General features: G+C 44.4%; 1 annotated feature.

The window, feature by feature from the left end:
- Window positions 10099-10310: a silencer, noted in NCBI's record as "fragment chr3:42040771-42040982 (GRCh37/hg19 assembly coordinates)". NCBI's record gives its function as "represses an EF-1alpha promoter that drives an FKBP-Casp9 reporter gene in an ReSE screen in HepG2 liver carcinoma cells {active_cell/tissue: HepG2}" and the evidence as "EXISTENCE:reporter gene assay evidence [ECO:0000049][PMID:32094911]".

The raw sequence follows: 22837 nt of genomic DNA on the forward strand, positions 1-22837 counted from the left end.
TTGAGAGGGAGTTTCGCTCTTGTTACCCAGTGCAATGGGGTGATCTCGGCTCACTGCAACCTCTGCCTCCCAGGTTCAAATGATTCTCCTGCCTCAGCCTCCCGAGTAACTGGGATTACAGGCACACACCACCATGTCTGGCTAATTTTGTATTTTTAGTAGAGACGGGATTTCTGCATATTGGTCAGGTTGGTGTTGAACTCCTGACCTCAGGTGATTCTCCTGCCTTGGCCTCCCAAAGTGCTGGGATTACAGGTGTGAGCTACCGCGCCCAGCCCTTTTTTAAAGAAATTTAGAGAAGAGGTCTTGTTACATTGCCCAGGGTAGAGTGCAGCGGCTATTCACAAGCGCAATCGTAGTGACTACAGCCTGGAATGCCTGAGCTCATGCGATCCTCCTGCCTCAGCCTTCCAAGTAGCTGGAACTACAGGCACAGGCCACCATGTCTAGCTATGTAATTATATATAATATGTATTTACATTTAATTTAATATAATAATTTATATAATATATAAATTATATATTATATATGAATGTATATATAATGTATATAGGTATTATATATAATGTTTATATAATATATAAATATTATATATAATGTATATATAATATACAAATATACACATATGTGTGTGCTTGTGTGTGTGTGTATATTTTTTTTTCCCTTGAGATGGAGGTCTTGGTCTGTTGCCCAGGCTGTAGTGCTAATGCAGTGGCATGATCATAGCTCTCTGCAGCCTCCAAACCCTGGGCTCAAGGAATTCTTCTACTCAGTCTCCTGGAGGAGCTGGGACTACGTGTACCATCATGCCTGGTTAATTTCTTTCTTTCTTTCTTTCTTTTCTTTCTTTTCTTTCTTTCCTTTCTTCTTTCTTTTTTTTTCTTTTTCTTTTTTTTGTAGAGATGGGGGTCTCGCCATGTTGACCAAGCTGGTCTTGAACTCCTGGCCTTAAGCAATCCTCCCACCTTGGCCTCCCAAAGTGCTGGGATTACACGTGTGAGCCACCATGCTTGGCTGTGATTCTATTTTTAAGTTTGAATTTTTTTTCATAATAAAAAGCTTTTAAAAAACTGCTGAATGTATTGGTGAGGTTGTTAATCTTGGAAAATCAAAGGATGAGATAAGGACCCTAGAGATACAATATCAGGATCATCTCTTTAAAAAGAGGTAGAAGGCTGGGCACGGTGGCTCATGCCTGTTATCCTAGTACTTTGGGAGGTTGAGGCAGGCGGATCCCTTGAGTTCACCAGTTCGAGAGCAGCCTAGGCAACATGGGGAAACCCCATCTCTACTAAAAATACAAAAATTAGCCAGGCATGGTGGTGCACACCTGTAGTCCCAGCTATTTAGAGGCTGAGGTGGGAAGATCCTTTGAGCCCAGGAGGCAGAAGTTGGAAAGAGCCGAGATTGGGCCACTGCACTTTAGCCTGAGCAACAGAGCGAGACTCTGCCAAAAAAAAAAGGAAGAAGGTCAGGCACAGTCGCTCACGCACTTTGGGAAGCCAAGGCAGGCGGATCACTTAGGGCCAGGATTTCAAGACCAGCCCAGCCAACCTGATGAAACTCCATCTCTACTAAAAATACAAAAATTAGCTGGGTGTGGTGGTGCTCATCTTTAGTCCTGGCTATTCGGATGGCTGAAGCACAAGAATCGCTTGAACCCAGGAGGCGTGGCTGCAGTGAGCAGAGATCTTGCCATTGCACTCCAGCCTGGGAGACAGAGCAAGACTCTGTCCCCACACCCCCTAACCAAAAAATAAAAATAAAAAAAAGGAACACTTAGAGAATCTTTTCTGTGGACTACATACTTCCCAGGATTTTCCCGAGAACCCATGTTACGGTAGACACCATATGATTAATACAACTTCTTAAGGTTTTCTTCCAGTAAAACAGTTTCTATTTGAATTATTTAGGAACCCAAAGAATCTGGACTACTAAGAAGTAGAGAAAATAGTGCCCTGCTAGATATAAAACTAAATTCTCACAGATATATTATTCTGTTTTCAACTCTCAGTTCTGTGCAGTTGTTGTAGTTGTCTATTCCTATGACAGAAATAATCCTTTAATTACTGTGACTTTATGTTACATTTTGCTTTCTGGTCAGGAGTGGTACCAGTTGATTTTTAAAAATAGTCTTAGATATTCGTATGTATGAATTCTTCCACAGCAATTTTAGAATACATTGTCATTTCCTTAAAATAAAATTTCTTTTTCATTTGGTTGGAATTACATAAAATTCACTGATTAATTTGGGGGTAAATGACATATCACAACATCGAGTCTTTCTATCTGGTGAACTTGTAATTACTATCCTCAGGTCTTAGTCAATTCTAATTAAACATGACAGCCTGATATTAGCTGTGCTTGGGTAGACAGTTGTGGGGCCTTGAAGTGGCATAGATTGAAAAGATGTGCAGAGGCAAGAAACCTGCAATGAGTCATTTAGTGGCCCGAGGCAAGAGGTGACAAGAATAAGGGAATGGATTTTTGGAAAACGTAAACATTTTTCAAAATCCTCAGATTTACTGGGGCAAAGGGTGGAATGAACTGCAATCAGGCCTGATAAGGACCCAGGTTGTGTGTGAGCTGACTGAGAAACACAAGAATAGAGATGTTAAGGATAACATGCTTTAGTAATAGAGTCACCTATGCTTTCTTTTTCTTTTTTGCCTTTATTTACTGTGCATTCTTTTGTTATATTTTTGCCCTTCCCACAATTTTCAAATTTCAAAAAATCACGTTCTTTCTGATGTGTTTTTGTAAATTAATTCTGTGGAGTGGCCGGGCACGCCGTGGCTCATGCCTGTAATCCCGGCACTTTGGGGGGCCAAGGTGGATGGATCACCTGGGGTCAGGAGCTCAAGATCAGCCTGGACAAGATGGTGAAACCCCCGTCTCTACTAAAAATACAAAAAAATTAGCCGGGCGTGGCGGCGGTCGCCTGTAATCCCAGCTACTTGGGAGGCTGAGGCAGAGAATTGCTTAAGCCTGGGACGCGGAGGCTGAGGCTGCACTGAGCCGAGATCGCGCCACGGCTCTCCAGCCAGGGCGACAGAGCAAGACTCCATTTCAAAAAAATAAAAAATAGCCGGGCGCGGTGGCTCACGCCTGTAATCCCAGCACTTTGGGAGGCCGAAGCGGGCGGATCACAAGGTCAGGAGACCGAGACCATCCTGGCTAACACAGTGAAACCCCGTCTCTACTAAAAATACAAAAAATTAGCCGGGCGTGGTGGCGGGCGCCTATAGTCTCAGCTACTCGGGAGGCTGAGGCAGGAGAATGGCGTGAACCCGGGAGGCGGAGCTTGCAGTGCGCCACTGCACTCCGGCCTGGGCGACGAGCGAGACTCCGTCTCAAAAATAAATAAATAAAAAATAAAAATAAAAATAAATAAAAAATAAAAAAAAATTCTATGGAGCTACATTTTCTTTCTTCCCCTACCCCCACCCCCACACTCTGAGAGCCTTCTCCCTCTCTCTATTTTGACCAGGGTCTCACTCTGTCACCCAGGCTGGAGTGGAGTGGCACGATCACGGCTCACCTGCAGCCTCTAACGCCTGGGCTCAAGCAATTCTTCCACCTCAGGCTCCTGAGTGGCCGGGACTACAGGCAATTGTCACCACGCCTGGCTAGTTTTTGTATTTTTTGTGGAGATGGGGGGTCTCTCCATGTTGTTCAGGCCGGTCTCAAGCTCCTGAGCTCAACTGATCCACCCGCCTCAGCCTGCCAGACTGCTGGGATTACAGGCATGTGCCACAGTGCCCAGCGAGGCCTTCTCTTTCTTTTTTTTTAAATTTAATTTAATTTTTTTTTTTTTTGAGACGGAGTTTCGCTCTATCGCCCAGGCTGGAATGCAGTGGCGTGATCTCGGCTCACTGCAAGCTCCATCTCCCGGGTTCACACCATTCTCCTGCCTCAGCCTCCCAAGTGGCTGGGACTACATGCACCCGCCACCATGCCCGGCTAATTGTTTTGTATTTTTAGTAGAGATGGGGTTTCAGTGTGATAGCCAGGATGGTCTTGATCTCCTGACCTTGTGATCCACCTGCCTCGGCCTCCCAAAATGCTGGGATTACAGGTGTGATCCACCACTCCCGGTCTCAAGCCTTCTCTTTCTAAAGGAGAATTTAACCTTTTAATATTTACTATAACCATTGATAACTCATTGGCCTTATTCTTGTCATATTTCATGTTTTGACTATATTATGCTTTATCAGTTTCTCCTCTATTGATTTAGGTGTCCTATAACAATTTCAGTTAACACCTAATATCTAAAAAAATTATATTTCTCCATAAAAACTATACACAGCACAGGATGAAACCTACATTTATTTATTTATTTATTTATTTATTTAGTTAGTTAGTTAGTTAGTTAGTTAGTTAGTTATAGAGGTTCTTGCTCTGTTACCCAGGCTGGAGTTCAGTGGCACAATCATAGCTCACTGTAGCCTCGACCTCCAGGCCTCAATCGATCCTCCCATCTCGGCCTCCCGAGTAGCTGGGACTATAGGTACGCACCACCACACCTGGCTAATTTTTGTATTTTTGGTAGAGACAGGGTTTTGCCATGTTGCCCAGGCCGGTCTCGAACTCCTGGCCTCAAGTGATCTGTCCGCCTTGGCCTCCCAAAGTGCTGGGATTGCAAGCATGAGCCTCCACGCCCGGGTGAAACCTCTCAATTTACCTCGTTTCTCCATCCTCTTCCTTCTCCTATGACTTCCCAGATTTTGTAGAAATAGCATATTTTAACTTGAAATTATATTTACTTTTTATACTTAAACATTTCTTTAGTAACCAATTCATTAACTATCTTCATCATATTACAAATTATTTAAACTTTTTCTTTTAAAAATATTTAACCACTATACTATGAGGAACAAATTATTTAAACTTTATTTTATTTTATTTTATTTTATTTTTTGAGATGGAGTCTCCTTCTGTTGCCCAGGCTGGAGTGCAATGGCATGATCTTGGCTCACTGCAGCCTCTGCCTCCCGGGTTCAAGTGATTCTCTCACCTCTGCCTCTGGAGTAGCTGGTACTACAGGCATGTGCCACCACGCCCAGCTAATTTTTACATTTTTAGTAGAGACAGAGTTTCACCATGTTGGTCAGGCTGGTCTCAAACCCCTGACCTCAAGTGATCCATCAGCCTTGACCTCCCAAAGTGCTGGGATTACAGGTGTGAGCCACCATGCCTGGCCAAATTATTTAAACTTTAAATCATACTGGTTTCAATGTTTATCACTATTTTTAAAATAAACCTTTTATATTAGAATAATTTTAGATTCACAGAAAAATTAAAAAGATAATACAAATTGTCTCCATATGCCCCACGCCCAGTTTCCCCTACTATTAACCTCTTACATTAGTATGGTACATTTGTCATAATTAATGAACATATACTGATGCTTGTTATTAATGATAGTCCTCATTTTGTTCATATTTACTTAGTTGTTACTGAATGTCCTTTTTCTGTTCCAGGATCCCATCCAGGATACCCCATTACATTTAATCATCTTGTCTCTTTGGGTTCTGCCTCTGACAGTCTTTCATACTTTCCTAGTTTCTGATGACCTTTCAATTTTGAGAATTGCTGATCAGGTATTTTTAGACTGTCACTTAATTGGTATTTGTCTGATCTTTTTCTCATAACCAGACTGGGGCTATTGGTTTTGGGGAGGAGGAGCATGGAGATAAAGGAGATAAAGTGCCATTCCCATCACATACTACTAAGGGAACATACTATTGGCATGACTTATTACTGTTGAGTCAATCTTGATCACCTCACTGCCTGAGGAAGTGTTTGTCAACTGTCTCCACTGTGAAGGTACTCTTTTTTTGTTTGTTTGTTTTTGAAACAGAGTCTCACTCTGGAGTGCAGTGGCGCAATCCCAGCTCACTGCAACCTTCATCTCCCGGGATCAAGTGATTCTCCTGTCTTCTGCCTCAGCCTCCCGAGTAGCTGGGACTACAGGTGTGCACCACCATACCCGGCTAATTTTTGTATTTTTAGCAGAGACAGGGTTTTGCCATGTTGGCCAGGCTGGTCTCGAACGCCTGACCTCAGGTGATCTGCCCACCTTGGCCTCCCAAAGTGCTGGGATTACAGGCATGAGCCACGATGCCCAAGCCATACTGTACTCTTTTGAAGGAAGTCACTAAGCACAGCCCACACAGACAGAGTGGGAGTTATGCTCCATCTGTTAGAAGTGGAGTTCTACATACTTTATTTGGAATTCTTCTGTATGGGAGATTTTTTTTCTTCTTCCCCATGTATTTATTCATTTATGTATTTATGTCAACATGGATTCATGGATATTTATTTTGTACTTTGAGTTATAATCCAATACTACTTTATTTATTTTGTTGCTCAAATTCTTCCAGCTTTGGCCACTGGAAACTTTTTCAGTTGACTCCCATGCCCCTTTGACATAAACCCCATGATTGTGGGTTTAGTTTTTGTTTTAGTATGTCTTTACTTCCTGGCATTACAAGATACTCCAGGTTCATCTTGCATCACTGTGTTTTGCATGTGGTCTTTTAGCCTTTTTATTCGGATTATTATTATTATTAATTTTTATTCATTTTTTTTTGAGTCGGAGTCTCACTTGGTCACCCAGGCTGGAGTGCAGTGACACGATCTCAGCTCACTGCAACCTCTGCCTCCTGAGTTCAAGTGATTCTCCTGTCTCAGCCTCCTGAGTAGCTGGGACTATAGGCGCATGCCACCATGCCTGGCTAATTTTCGTATTTTTAGTAAAGACGGGGTTTCACCATGTTAGCCAGGATGGTCTCTACCTCTTGACCTCGTGATCTGCCCACCTTGGCCTCCCAAAGTGCTGGGATTACAGGTGTGAGCCACCACACCCAGCCCTATTATTATTATTATTTTGAGACAGGGTCTCGCACTGTCACCTGGGCTGGAGTGCAGTGGTGCTATCTCGGCTCACTGCAACCTCTGCCTCCCGGGTGCAAGCGATTCTCCTGCCTCAGCCTCCCAAGTAGCTGGGATTGCAGGCGCCTGCCTCCACGCCCAGCTAATTTTTTTGTATTTTTAGTAGAGACAGGGTTTCACCATGTTGGTCAGGCTGGTCTCAAACTCCTGACCTCGCGATTTGCCCACCTTGGCTTCCCAAAGTGCTGGGATTACAGGCATGAGCCACCGTGCCAGCATTTTTTTTTTTTTTTTTTTTGAGACAGAGTTTTGCTCTTGTTGCCCAGGCTGGAGTGCAGTGGTGCGATCTCGGCTTATTGCAACCTCAGCCTTCTGGGTTCAAGCGATTCTCCCACCTCAGCCTCCTGAGTAGCTGGGATTACAGGCATGTGCCACCACATCCAGCTAATTTTGTATTTTGTTGTTGTTGCTGTTTTAGTAGAGATGGGTTTTCTCCATGTTGGTCAGGCTAGTCTCAAACTCCCGATCTCAGGTGATCCGCCCACCTTGGCCTCCCAAAGTGCTGGGATTACAGGCATGAGCCACCGCGCCCTGGCCTTTTGTTTGTTTTTGAGACAGGGTCTCACTCTGTCACCCAGGCCGGAGTGCAGTGCCATGATCACTACTCACTGCAGCCCTGACCTCCCACCTGCCTAATCCTCCTAAGTAGCTGGGACCACAGGCACGCACCACCATGCCCAGCTAATTTTTTTATTATTATTTGTAGAGACAGGGGGTCTCCCTATGTTGCAGAGGCTGGTCTTGAACTCCTGGACTCAAGTGATCCTTCCCCTTTGGCCTCCTAGAGTGTTGGGATTACAGGTGTGAGCCACCGCACCTGGCTCCTACTGTGTATTCTTAAGTAAGATTAATGTCTCAAAGCATGATGTAGGCTGATGCAAGAAAAAAATTAATGTCATATTTTGATAAATATAAAATTGTTAAACATTTAAAAATAAATATATTAAAGAAATAGAAACACGCTGTAAAACTTTCAAAACAGTTGAGATGGGCAGAAAAAGAACCAATAAAATGTGCTCTATCCAACAGAGTTTTGAAATGGGAGGAGGGTGGTAAAGGAAACAATGACTTCAAGTTTCTTCAAATTGTGTGTTATTTCTTCTGCGTGCCCCTGGGATGGGCAACCTTGAAGGATGCTTTGGACAAGGCTTCTAAATGGAAGCAAACACAAATTTGAGTTCTTGTCAAAAGAAATACCCACCCTCTCTGCAGCAATGTCCAAGATGATCAGCCATAGATGTTCCTGCATTTTGGTCTTGGTTTTGTGCTTCTGTTGCAAAAACCATCCCACATGGGTTGGGGTAGTTTTTGTGTCCTGTTACATTCAGTGATTCAAATAAAATGAAAGGCATAAACACTCCTCATTTCTATTCCTGAAAGTCCTTCTTGGTCGATTAAAGTGACAAGCCTGGTACCTTCCTTTAAGAGCCTGCTGCTGCTGAGTCCTCAATTTAATTGGTCTATGTGGCATGAGTTTTGGAAGAATAAATATATTCTCCCTGATACTTGCCCTTAGCTAAGTTAGCTTCATCTTTGCCAAGTTCTTACAATCTACTTGGAGGTCATTTCTTTGGGGCTTATTTATATCTAAGGCCCAGTCAGAGCAACAGGAATCTATTCATATGGGTCGACTGCATGATTTTGTTAAATGTGTTAAATTTAGTAACACCAGGAGGAAAACATTCTACTAGCTAGTGCTGAGCAGTGCATGGTTGTTACTTTTGTTTTCTTCTCACAGTACTTGCAGCACAGAAACAGCTGACCCTGCCACTCCTCACCTCATCGCCCAATGTGGCATCATCACAGTGTCTAAGAAGTTTCCTTGGAGGATCTGTGCTTACTTTAACAGTTGCCAACACATAGGCCTTGTGCTAAACTCTGACCAAATGCAAAACAGTAACAGTAAGAGAAGTGTCTTAGTTTGGGTTCCCCCTAAAGTAGCCCCTGAGATATGCAATTTATCTGGAAGTGATCCCAGGAAACACCGGCAGGGGGACAGAGAATTGAGACAGGAAAGGAAGGTAGCTGCTGATGAAGGGTGCTTTATCAAGCAAAAATAACTGGAGCCCAATCACTTGAAGGAAGTCTGGAAGCCAGCAGAGAACGTACACTGCCCGAAGAGACAAAGGAACAGGGACTTCTGGAAGATCTTCAATTCCCCATAACTTCCAACCCACTGCATCGAGCAGAGCAGGCTTCAGTAGCCAGAGGATTAGGACAGCATGCTGGCAGCTGGTGCTGGCTCCACTACAGCTGTAAGGCTGTGGGGGATATGGGCAGAGCCCCAGCACTGTCCCCTACAATAGGTTTTTCCCAGTTCTTATCAAATAATTCTTTCAGATGTCATAACATGGTGTGATAATTCTTGTACCTTGCCTGACCATATGTAGTGGCATCTTCTTTTGGTAACAGGCCCTAAACTTTAGTCCCAACAGCCATGACCCAGCTGGGCCAATCATAAAATCTCATGCTTCCAAGTGAAACATAAAGTGAGCTAAAACCATAATCTTGTAATTTGAACTGATAAAGCTTTTTCTTTACAAAACATTTTCAGAATAACATAAAATAAATTGAATAAAAGTAGATATTTTGGCCAGGCGTGGTGGCTCACACCTGTAATCCCAGCACTTTGGGAGGCCGAGGCAGGTGGATCACCTGAGGTCAGGAGTTCGAGCCAGACTAACCAACAGGGTGAAACCCCATCTCTACTAAAAATACAAAAAATTAGCTGGGTGTGGTGGCAGGTGCCTGTAATCCCAGCTACTCAGGAAGCTGAGGCACGAGAATTGCTTGAACCCAGAGGCAGAAGTTGCAGTGAGCCGAAATTGCACCACTGCACTCCAGCCTGGGCGACAGAGTGAAACTCCATCTCAAAATATATATATATATATATATATATATATATATATATATATATATATATATATATATAAAATATATAAAATATAAAAAAATACTCTGTCTCAAAAAACAAACAAACTGCTGTGTTGTGGCATGACATTTTAGGTTTTATTTATTTTTTTAAGACAGAGTCTTTCTCTGTCACCCAAGCTGGAGTGCAGTGTCACATTTTGGCTCACTGCAACCTCTGCCTCCCAGGTTCAAGCAAATCTTATGCTTCAGTCTCTTGAATAACTGGGATTACAGGGGCTCACCGCTGCACCTGGCTAATTTTTGTATTTTTAGTAGAGACGGGGTTTCACCATGTTGCCCAGGCTGGTCTTGAACTCCTGGCCTCAAGTGATCCACCCACCTTGGCCTCCCAAACAGCTGGGATTATAGGCATGAGCCACCGCGCCAGCAGGTTTACTTATTTTTTATTTCAGTTTTGTCCACCCTAACAAATATACTCCCTGATGCCCACCCTTGAACTTCCATGGACTCTGGGCTTGGGTCAAGATTGCTCAGGGGAAAACAAAACAAAACATAGAAAGAGAGAGCTAGAAGCATGTTGCTACACTTAAAATATCAGTTACCAGAAACTCAGAAAGGCATACAAATTTGGAAAGATTTAAATAAGAGCAACTAAAGAATTAAAATAGCAGAGGTATTTTTCCATGAGGATAAACTGTGACTAATTCTCTTTAGCTTGGGGCTGAGCATGGTGGCTCATGCCTGTAATCCCAACACTTTGGGAGGCCAAGGTGGGAGGATCCCTTGGGTTCTAGAGTTCAAGAGCAGCTTGGACAACACAGTGAGACCCCCGTCTCTACAAAAATTTCTTTTAATTAGCCAGATGTGGTGGCACACGCCTGTAGTCCCAGCTACTCAGGAGGCTGAAGTGGGAGGATTGCTTGAGTCCAGGTGTTCTAGGTTACAGTAGACTACAATTGTGCTTCTTCTGCACACCAACTTGGGTGACAGGGCAAGACCCAGTCTCAAACAAAAAAAAAAAGAAAAAAGAAAAAAAAATACTCTTTAGTAGCTTAGGAAGAGGATTAGATGAGCTCAAAGTCCATAAAAGCTGAGATTTAGCTGGTGTCAACATACCATAAACGGAAAGTAGTATGGGACACCCATTACCCCAAGAATATTATTGTATAACTTGAATACAAATAGGATCTAGCAAGGTTTTGATAGGTGGTCACTTTATAATGGGTTGTGAAAGGGAAGTTAAGGAGGTTCAGGAAATATTCTCAAGATCTTTTAACTTTGATATGAGAAATGAGAATTACTACACTCTCCACATCCAACAAAACAGTAAAATGTTAATCAATGAAGGTATTCCAAGTCATATGGATCTTTGGTTAGATCCTGAAGGTTTGATCCAATCAACAAATATTTATTGAGCAACTACTATGTTCTAGACGTTGTGCTGAGAATACATCTGAGAATAAGACTACCTTGTGAATTAAGAGGGTTTAAGAAAATAAATAATATAATATATTAAAATGTGCTAAATTTTAAAAAAGACAGAGCAGGGTAAGGGGCATTGAGAGTGCCGGGGGAAAATAAGTGGCAGTATTAATGAGATGGTTCAAGGAGGCCTCATTGGTGAGCCATGTGGCTCATGCCTATCATCCCAGCACTTTGGGGGACCAGGAGGGAGGATGACTTGAGGCCAGGAGTTTGAGACCATCCTAGGCAATATAGCGAGACCTTGTCTCTACAAAAATGAAAATAAAAAATTAGCCAGAACGATGATGTGCATCTATAGTCCCAGCTACTCAGGAGGCTGGGGCAGGAGAATTGTTTGAGCCCAGGAGTTCGAGGTTGCAGACAGCTATGATCATCCCACTGCATTCCAGCCTGGGTGACAGAACAAGACCCCTGTCTTAAAAAAAAAAAAAATAAGTCTTATTGAGATGAGGAGAAGAGCCATAAGGATAAGTAGAGGAAGAACAATCCAGGCAAAGGAAATGGCCAGTGCAAAAGTTCTGAGGTGACAGTGTCTCTGGCATGTTCAAGGAACAGCAAGGAGACTATTTTTCCTGTGAAGTTAGTGAGTTGGAGAGAAGAGGAAAATGAAGTCAGTGGGATGAGGGGAGTAGACGGTGTAGGTCTTGTGGGCCATGGTAGAGACTTTTTTTTCTTGAGACAGGGTTTCACTCTGTCACCCAGGCTGGAGTGCAGTGTAACAAACACGGTTCAGTGCAGCCTCAACCTCCTGAGCTCAAGCAGTTTTCCCATCTCAGCCTCCCAAGTAGCTGGGACTACAGGTGTGCACCACCACTCCTGGCCCTGTAAAAACTTTTGCTTACATTCTGGGAGGAATGGGGAACAATTGGAGGGTTTTGAACGGAGGAGAGCCACGATGTGACTCACATTTTACAAGATCATTGGCTACTGCATTGAAAAATGGACTGAGGTAGGGCAGGGGCAGAGGGCAGGTGAACAAGTAAGAATTTAGGAGGTTCTTGCAGGAATGCAGGAGAAATGATGGTGGTTTGGACTAGGATGGAGGCAGTGAAGGCAGTAAGAAGTAGGTTCTGGATTATATTTTGAAGGTAGAACCAACAGGTTTTCCTGATAAATTGGATGTGGGGTGAAAAAAAAGGGAGAAGTCAGAGATAAATATAAGGTTTCTGCCTGGACAATTGAAATCTAGGAAACTGTGGAATAGTAGAATTTTTAGAAGTCCAGCAGCTCAGTTTTGGGCATAATAAGGTAGAGATGCCTATTAGACATCCAAATGCCAGTGTCAAGTAGGAAGTTTGTTTACATGAGTCTGGAGTTCAGAGGGAAAGTCTGGACTGGAAGTATAAACTTGGAGTTATCTATGTGTAGATGGTGTTTAAAGCCTTGAGATTAGATGAGATCACTAAGGAGTGAGTGTAGAGTGCAGTTTCCTAGAATCCAAGTAAAGAAAGTGTTCCAAGAAGAAAGATGACAAAAGTTGTGTCAAATGTGGCTGAGAGGTCAAGTAAAAGGAGAACTGATAATGGACCCTAAATGTAGCAATGTGGAGGTCAATGGTGACCTTGACTGGGTGGAGTAGTCTCAGTGGAATGGGTTTCAGGAAAAAATGGACAGAATTGAGACAGTGACGATAAGCAATTCTTTCAAATAGCTTTGTTATGAAGGATGACAAAAAACAGGGTGGCATCTAGAGGTGGAAGTAAAGTCAAGAGAGTTTTTTTCTTCTATTCAAGATGGAAGAAATATAGGGCAGGCATGGTGGCTCAAGTCTGTAATCCCAGCACTTTGGGAGGCTGAGGCTGGTGGATCACTTGTGGCCAGAAGTTCGAGACCAGCCTGGCCAACACAGTGAAACCCCATCCCTACCAAAAAATACAAAAATTTGCCTGGTGTGGTGGCAGGCACCAACTACTTGGGAGGCTGAGGCAGGAGAATCACTTGAACCCAGGAGGCGGAGGTTGCAGTGTCATGCCGCTACATTCCAGCCTGCGTGACAGAGTAAGAGTCTGTCTCAAAAAAAAAAAAAAAAAAAGACAGAAGAAATAACTATGTTTGTATGCTGGTGAGAATGCCCCAGTAGAGAGGAAAAAAACTGATGATGGAGGAAGGAGGGGAGAAAATTGTAATGATATACCCAAGCAGGTATATTAGTTTTCTAGGGCCACCATAACAGATTGCCACAAATTTGGTGGCTTAAAACAACAAAAACTTACTCTCTCAGAATTCTAGAAGCCAGAAATCTGAACTCAAGATGTTAGCAGAGATGTACTCCCTCTGTAGGCTCTAGGGGAAAATTTTTTCCTTGCCTCTTCTGGCTTCTGGCAGCTGCTGGCATTCCTTGGCTTGTGGATGCATCTCTCTCTTTTCTGCCTTCACATTGGCTTCTCCTCTGTGTGCGTTCTACTCTTCTGTCTGTTTTAAATCTCCTTCTGCTTTTCTCTTACTAGGACACTGTCATTGGATTTAGGGCCTCCCCAGGTAACCTAGGATGATCTCATCTCAAGATCATTAACTTAATGACAGGTGTGGTGGCTCACACCCGTAATCTCAGAACTTTGGGAAGCTAAGGTGGGCGGGTCACCTGAGGTCAGCAGTTTGAGACCAGCCTGGCCAACATGGTGAAACCCCATCTCTACTACTAAAAATACAAAAATTAGCCAGATGTTGGTGGCAGGCGCCTGTAATTCCAGCTACTCTGGAGACTGAGGCAGGAGAATCGCTTGAACCTGGGAGGCAGAGGTTGCAGTGGGCCGAGATCGTGCCACTGTATTCCAGCCTGGGTGACAGAGTGAGACTTCATTCCCCCCGCAAAAAAAAAAATTTAATGACATCTGCAAATCCCCTTTTCCCAAATAAGGTCACATTCATAGGTTCTGGATATTAGGACCTGAAATACATTTTGGGGGACCACCATTCACCCTAATGCAGTAGGTGAGAAGGAATGGGGTCTACTTCACACGGGAGGAGTCGGCTTTTGATGGGAGCAGGGATAATTCATCACTAATTTCAGTAGGGTGAATAGATGATTTGGTCCCAGTCACAACTAGGTGGGTAGACATAGTGGTGGGAGCTTGTAGAAGTTTTTTTGGGCTGGGCATGGTGGCTCACGCCTGTAATCCCAGCACTTTGGGAGTCCAAGCAGGGTGGATCACCTGAGGTCGGGAGTTCGAGACCAGTGTGACTAACATGGAGAAACCTTGTCTCTACTAAAAATACAAAAAAAATTATCCAGGCGTGGTGGCACATGCTTGTAATCCCAGCTACTCGGGAGGCTGAGGCAGGAAAATCGCTTGAACCTGGGAGGTGGAGATTGCGGTGAGCCGAGATCGCGCCATTGCACTCCAGCCTGGGCAACAAGAGCAAAACTCCGTCAAACAAACAAACAAAAAACAAGTTCGTTTGATTCCTTCCATTTCCTCAGTGAGATAAGAAACAAAGTCACCATCTGACAGTGAAGATGGGGAGGGAGTTGCTAGAACTTGGATATGAAAAGAAAAAATGTGTTGTAGTTTTCATGAAGAGTGGGAGAATGACTGGATTAGAGAGTTATTAATTGTTCAGCAGCAGTAAAGCTCACCTGAGATTCATGGTCATAATTTTTTTTTTTTTTTCTGAGACAGAGTCTCACTCTGTTGCCCAGGCTGGAGTGCAGTGGTGCAATCTCAGCTCACTGCAACCTCCATCTCCTGGGTTCAAGTGATTCTCCTGCCTCAGCCTCCCGAGTAGCTGGGACTACAGGCATGTGCCACCACACCCAGCTAATTTTTGTATTTTTAGTAGAGAGGGGGTTTCACCATGTTGATGAGGCTGGTTTTGAACTCCTGACCTAAAGTGATCCACCTGCCTCGGCCTCCCAAAGTGCTGGGATTACAGGTGTGAGCCACTGCACCTGGCCTAAAACAGGTAGATTTTATTTGCAATCCAGATTTCTGACTTCTTTTGAAAATCTAGGAGATAAGACAACATTGGGTTTGCATTTAGACATCGGAACAATTGTTAGAGCTCAGAGGTGGCTACCCAATAAAGACAGAGAAAGCCAGGTGTGGTGGCTCATGCCTGTAATCCCAGCACTTTGGGAGGCCGAGATGGGTGGATCACAAGGTCAGGAGATCAAGACCATCCTGGCTAACACGGTGAAACCCCATCTACACTAAAAATACAAAAAATTAGCCTGTAGTCCCAGCTACTAGGGAGGCTGAGGCAGGAGAATGGCGTGAACCTGGGAGGTGGAGCTTGCAGTTTGCCAAGATCGCGCCACTGCACTCCAGCTTGGGCGACAGAGCAAGACTCTGTCTCAAAAAAAAAAAAAAAAAAAGTGTGGTGGAGCAGATGGCTAAAGAGATGGATGGGGGCCAGTGAAGAATACTGTTCCCTGAGTGAAAGTTTGGGCTATACCCCTAGGTCACTAGGGCGTTGTTGAAGAGTTTACAGCACAAGAATGATAGCATCTGGTTTGTCTGAGGAAAGTAGATGGATTCAAGGCAAAAGACCAGATGCTGTAAAGAAGTTATTGTTATTAATTCATGGTTTTTCTTATGTCTAAAAAATCCATGCACAATAAGTCTGGTTTATAAACACAAGTCTTCATGTCTTTTTTTTTTTTTTTTTTGAGACAGGGTCTGGCGCTGTCACCCAGCCTGGAGTGTAGTGGCGCAATCTCGGCTCACTGCAACCTCTGCCTCCCAGGCTCAAGCTGTCTTTCCACCTCAGCTTCCTGAGTAGCTGGGACTAAAGGTGCATGTCACCATGCCCAACTAATTTTTTTGTATTTTTTAGTAGAGACGGGGTTTTTCCATGTTGCCCAGGCTGGTCTCGAACTCCTGAGCTCAAGCAATCCACCTGCCACAGCCTCCCAAAGTGGTGGGATTACAGGCTTGAGCCACCATGCCCAGCCCCTCATGTCTTAATCCTAGAATTCTTTTCCCGTGCCATTCCTCTCCTCTTCATTCTTCCCATTACCCAAGACTGAGGTTGACTCTCTTTTACTTCGCAGAGACAAAAGCAAAGTGTTTAATCAGTCATATGGGGCTAGCAGCCTGACTTTTTCAATAGTTTATGACTGTATACGTTAATTCACTTATCCAAGGGTCAGTTTCCTTATCTATAAACTGCAGATAATAGCTGTCTCATAGAGTTGCTGTCAGAATGAAGGAACTGATGTTACTAAAGCACTTAGCACATGGCTGGGTGCAGTGGCTCACACCTGTAATCCTAGCACTTTGGAGGCCAAGGCAAGAGTATCACCTGAGGTCAAGAGCTCGAGACCAGCCTGGCAAACATGGCAAAACTCCATTTCTACTAAAAATACAAAAATTAGCTGGGCATGGTGGCGCACACACGCCTGTAGTCCCAGCTACTCAGGAGGCTGAGGCAAGAGGATTGCTTGAACCCTGGAGGCCGAGGTTGCAGTAAGCTGAGATCTTGCCACTGCACTCTGGCCTGGGTGATAGAATAAGACTCTGTCTCAAAAATAAATAAATAAATAAAATAAAAATTAAAAAAATAAAGCACTTAGTGCAGTGCTACTTAGCACAGTGCTTGGTGCAAACTGTGCTCAATAAATGTGAGATTAAAATCTGGCATAAAATATTCTATGATGGCTGGGCACGGTGGCTCCTAGCTATAATCCCAGCACTTTGGGAGGCAAAGGTAGAGGATCACGAGGCCAGAAGTTCAAAACCAGCCTGTGCAACATAGTGAGACATGTGCCCCCTAATCTCTACCCCCCCTCAAAAAAAATTAACTGGGCTTGGTGGCATGCACCTGTAGTCTCAGCTACCTGGGAGGATGAGGCAGTAAGATCGCTTGAGCCCAGGAGTTTGAGGCTGCAGTGAGTGATCATAGCACCACTGTACTCCAGCCTGGGTGCCAGAGCAAGACACCATCTCTAAGAAAAAAAAAAGGGGGGTGGCAGCGCAGTGAGCGAGACACCGTCTCTAAGAAAAAAAAAAGGGGGAGCCGAATGTTGTGGCTCATGCCTGTAATCCCAGCACTTTGGGAGGCTGAGGTGGGCGGATCACTTGAGGCCAGGAGTTCGAGACCAGCCTGGCCAACATGGTGAGACCCCCATCGCTACTAAAAATACAAAAATTAGCCGGGCACGGTGGCATGTGCCTGTAATCCAAGCTACTCGGGAGGCTGAGGCAGGAGAATTGCTTGAACCCGGGAGGTGGAGGTTGCAGTGAACTGAGATCGTACCACTGCACTCTAGCCTGGGCAATAGAGCAAGACCCTGTCTCAAAAAAAAAAAAAAAAAAAAGAGATTTCAGGATAATGTGCATGTGGATGAAACATAATTGGACTCTGCTCTCCTTCTGAAATGGTGACAGGTTCAAGCTCTTTTCTTAGAGTATGTATGTGTTTGGGGTGATTATAGATGAATACCCCACAATCATGTGGGGTGCTCTCAGTTCAATTCAAGCTGATACTTTGTTTGTTGTAATTGTTCCATTTCCTACACATGTAATAATAGAAAACATTTTTCCCCTTTCCCTCACACACTAATTGTAAGATTGTCTGAGAGTTTTTTTTTTTTTCTTTTAGACAGGGTCTTGCTCTGTCGCCCAGGCTGGAATGTAGTGGTGCAATCATGGCTCACTGAAGCCTCTACTTCCCATGCTCAAGCAATCCTCCCACCTCAGCCTCCTGAGTAGCTGGGACCACAGGCATGCACCACCACACCTAGCCAATTAAAAAAAATTGTAGAGACAAGGTCACCCTATGTTGCCCAGGCTAGAAATATTGATTTTGTTTGTTTTGTTTGGTTTGGTTTGGTTTTTGAGAAGGAGTCTCACTCTGTCGCCCAGGCTGGAGTGCAGTGGCACGATCTTGGCTCACTGCAAGCTCCGCCTCCCGTGTTCACGCCATTCTCCTGCCTCAGCCTCCCGAGTAGCTGGGACTACAGGTGCCCGCCACCACGCCTGGCTAATTTTTTGTATTTTTGGTAGAGACAGGTTTCACCGTGTTAGCCAGGATGGTCTGGATCTCCTGACCTCGTGATCCGCCCGCCTCGGCCTCCCAAAGTGCTGGGATTACAGGCGTGAGCCACCGCACCCGGCCTAGAAATATTGGTTTTAATTAACCTTCAGCTATGGAACCCGATAGTCTACCAATTGCCATTTTTGAACCCATTTATGTTACAGTGGGTTTTAGCATATTCCTGAAGAATTACTGGTGGCAGTAGTGGTGGTAGAGGAGATGCTGTGGCAGCTGACCCTTCTGTGCTGGTCTTGATGTGGTCTGGTATTCACACCCTCCACAGCCAGCAGTGTGGAGGTTTTTGATTATCCACTTGAGTTCATCCTCCACACAGCGGCTAGAAGGAGGTTTTTAGAAAGTGAATGTGACCATGTCAGTCTTACCTAAAACTCTTTACTCCTTACCAGAACCATGAAGTCTCATTGCCTGGCTTTTCCCTGAAACCCCACCATGGCTCCAGCCATCGAGGGCCTTTCCCACTTCTGGGTCTGATCTTGCCCCTCCACTTTGCATGGTTGGTTCCTGTTCCTCCTTTGGGTCTCAGCTTAAGTGTTAGCGCCTTAGATCTTCCTCAACCAACTGATTTATCATAAACCCCCTTCTTATCCTACTTACAGCACCTGCATCTTTTTCTTCATAGCACTTTTCACAAACTATTTTTTTTTTGTTTGTTTTTTTGAGACAGAGTCTCACTCTGCCACCCAGGCTGAAGTGCAGTGGTGCGATCTTGGCTCAATGCAATCTCTACCTCCCGGGTTCAAATGATCCTCTCACCTCAGCCTCCCGAGTAGCTGGGATTACAGACGCACACCACCACGCCTGGCTAATTTTTGTATTTTTAGTAGAGACAGGGGTTTCACCATGTTGGTCAGGCTGATCTCAAACTCCTGACCTCAAGTGATCTGCCTGCCTTGGCCTCCCAAAGTGCTGGGATTACAGGCGTGAGCCACCATGCCTGGCCTTCACAAACTAATTAAATATGTATATGTGTATCACATTATCTGACTCCTCTCCTGGACAGAAAGGTCCATTAGGGCTAGGAATATACCCGTTTTTTTTTTCTTTTTTGACACTGGGTATCCTTCTGTCACCCAGGCTGGAATGCAGTGGCACAATCATGGCTCACTGCAGCCTAGACCTCCTGGGATCAAGCAGTCCTCCCACCTCAGGCTCCAAAGTAGCTGGGACCACAGGCACATGTCACTATCCCTGACTAGTTTTTTGATTTTTTTGTAGAGACAGGGCCTCCCTATTTTGCCCAGGCTGAGGAATGCATCTGTTTTACCCACTACTCTATCACCCTAGCCTAGTCCAACAGACACAGGCTGGGCATGGCGGTGCACTCCTGTAATCCCAGCGCTTTGGGAATCTCAGGTGGGAGAATTGCTTGAGCTCAGGAGTTGGAGACCAGCCTGAGCAACACAGCAAGACCTCGTCTCTAAAAAAAATAAAAACAAAAACCAAAAAAAATAGACACACACGCAAAACTGTCAATATATGACTTATGGATCTACTTTTTACAGTATTTCATTCATTCTTTTTTTTTTTTTTGAGATGGAGTCTCGCTCTGTCGCCCAGGCTGGAGTGCAGTGGTGCGATCTTGACTCATTGCAACCTCCGTCTCCCTGGTTCAAGAGCTTTTCCTGCCTTGGCCTCCCGAGTAGCTGGAACTACAGGCATGTGCCACCACTCCCAGCTAATTTGTTTTGTATTTTTAGTAGAGACGGGGTTTCACCATGTTAACCAGGTCGGTCTGGAACTCCGGACCTTAGGTGATCTGCCCGACTCGGACTCCCACAGTGCTAGGATTACAGGTGTGAGCCACCTCGTCCCGCCCTTTTTTTTTTTTCTTTTTGTTTTTCTTTTTTTTCTGAGACAGAGTCTCGTTCTGTCGCCCAGGCTGGAGTGCAACTGCATGATCTCTGCTCACTGCAACCTCTGCCTCCTGGGTTCAAATGATTCTCCTGCCTCAGCCTCCCAAGTAGCTGGGATTACAGACATGCACCACCATGCCAGCTAATTTTGTATTTTTAGTAGAAACGGGGTTTCACCCTGTTGGCCAGGCTGGTCTTCAACAGAAGTTGAAGTGATCCTCCTCAAGTGATCTGCCTGCCTTGGCCTCCCAAAATGCTGGGATTACAGGCATGAGCCACCGCACCCAGACATTCTTTCTGTATCTATTGACGGGGCATCTATGAGTCAGGCACTGTTGTTGGTGCTGGGACTGCAGCAATGAATAAAGCTGGTGTCAGGCATCTTTTATATATGTCCCATGTTGTATCTTAGTTAGCTTTTTTTGCTCAGCATCTACTTTTTTTTTTTTTTTTGAGACAAGAGTTTTGCTCTGTTGCTCAGGCTGCAGTGCCATCGTTCAGTTATAGTTCACTGCAGTCTTGAGTTCAGGGGTTCATGCAATCCTCCTGCTTCAGCCTCTTGAGTAACTGGAACTACAGGCATATACCTTCATACTTCCATAGCCAATTTTTAAATTTTTCTTTTGTAGAGATGGGGTCTTGCTATGTTGCTTAGGCTGGCCTTGAACTCTGAGGCTCAAGTGATCCACCCACCTTGGCCTCCCAAAATGCTGAGATTACAGGTGTGAGCCACCACTCCTGAACTCAGCATCAAGTTGGCCAATGGGAGATAGGAACTGGTGGCTAAATATTTCCTCCTCTGTCTTACATTCTGCGCAGTTCCTCAGGGGGCCTCAGTGGGACTAAGCTCCAGTTGTTTACAGAAATTTTATATCCTTCAATAGGCTTTCTTTCTTTCCTGTTTCATTCTTTCTGGTCCCAATTTCTTTTTCTACCCATATCCTACGGGATCATTTTCCAGAAGAAAGTATCTGCCCATGAGTCCTTCTCCAATGTTGCTTTTGGGGGGAACCCCAGCTAATATAGCTAGCCTTTTAATTGCTTTTGTTGGGTCACTTTCAACATTTCCACCTTGGGTCCCTGGATGCATTCTGGGTTCCTAATGGGTAGGGATCAGATATTCTATTTTGTATTTTCCCACAGTTACTAACGAGGGCCTGGCAAATGCAAGTAAACATAGATTAATTTCGATTTGATTCAACAAAAGGAAAGAATACAGTGGCTATCTGTGGCTCAAGGGAAGCCAGTTGCCTCTGTTGCAGCTACTTCTGCCTCATGCTGGATGAAGGGAGGACTTACCAGGGCAATTACTGTTTTCCTTTCTTGTATCCATTCTGCTTCCCTCCCAGGTTCCTGTTCCACTGGCTTCCAGCAGCAGCAGGTCAGCAGCTGCTCCAAGTAGTTCATCAGCTCAGTCAGGCCCAGAACTGGGGCTGTCACTGGGGCCCCGCCTGCCATCTGCTTCCTCCAAGCTGAGAGTAGGAGAGGAAAACTGGTCCCTACTCCTCAGGGGCAGAATCCACATGCCTGTCATCTGGCACTACAGAACAAATCAGGGACTCCAAAGAATGAATGACTTCAAAATTTTCTACCAGCCTTAACTGAATCTCATAGATATAGGGAGTGACAGACAGCTGGTAAAGGTGTAAAGAAAGTAGAACATATTTGGCAGACAAGCAGTAGTTAACGGGTCTACCGCTAATTTGATGCTCCTGTGGACACACACTACTTTTCTGCCCACAGTTTCCAGAAAATGAGTAGGTTGGACTAGATGATCTCAAAGAACCCCCAGCTCTAGGATTGTTAAATTACAGAACTGGAAGGAATCTGATCGGTCAGTTATACTTCAAATAGTCTAATTTTTTTTTTTTCTTGAAAGCCTTCACTGTTGGTAACAGCACCATGTCTATTCTAGATCCACTATGAGAGCTCCAGCATATCTGCTCTGGCATGCTCCCTGATGGGCATGCCCATTTACATACAGTTTTTTTGTAATTAAAAATGATTTTTTTTGTAATTAAAAATTGCATTGAGATAATGGTAGATTCACATTCATTTCTAAGAAATAATATATTTGGGCCAGGTGCGGTGGCTCATGCCTGTAATCCCAGCACTTTGGGAGGCTGGGGCAGGTGGATCACCTGAGGTCAGGAGCTCGAGACCAGCCTGACCAACATGGTGAAACCCCATCCCTACTAAAAATGCAAAAATTAGCCAGGCATGGTGGTGCACGCCTGTAATCCCAGCTACTCAGGAGGCTGAGGCAGGAGAATTCCCTGAACCTGGGAGGTGGAGGTTGCAGTGAACTGAGATTGTGCCATTGCACTCCAGGCTGGGCAACAAGAGCAAAACTCCGTCTTGGGAAAAAAAAAATACACACACACACACACATATATATATTTGGCCTAGTTTCCCCCAATGACAACATTTGCAAAACCTTAATATGATATCATAACTAGGATATTGACATTGATACAATTTACCTATCTTATTCAGATTTTCCCAGTTTTACTTGTACTCATTTGTGTGTATATTAAGTTCTAGATAATTTTATCACCTGTACTACCATACTCAAGATGTTTAACAGTTCCAAATTCACAAGGATCCCTTGTGTTGCCCTTTTATATCATACCTGCTTTCTTTCCACCTTACTTCATTCCCCAACTTGA

The sequence above is a fragment of the Homo sapiens genome, chromosome 3, assembly GCF_000001405.40.
Source record: "Homo sapiens chromosome 3, GRCh38.p14 Primary Assembly".
Lineage (NCBI taxonomy): Eukaryota > Metazoa > Chordata > Mammalia > Primates > Hominidae > Homo > Homo sapiens.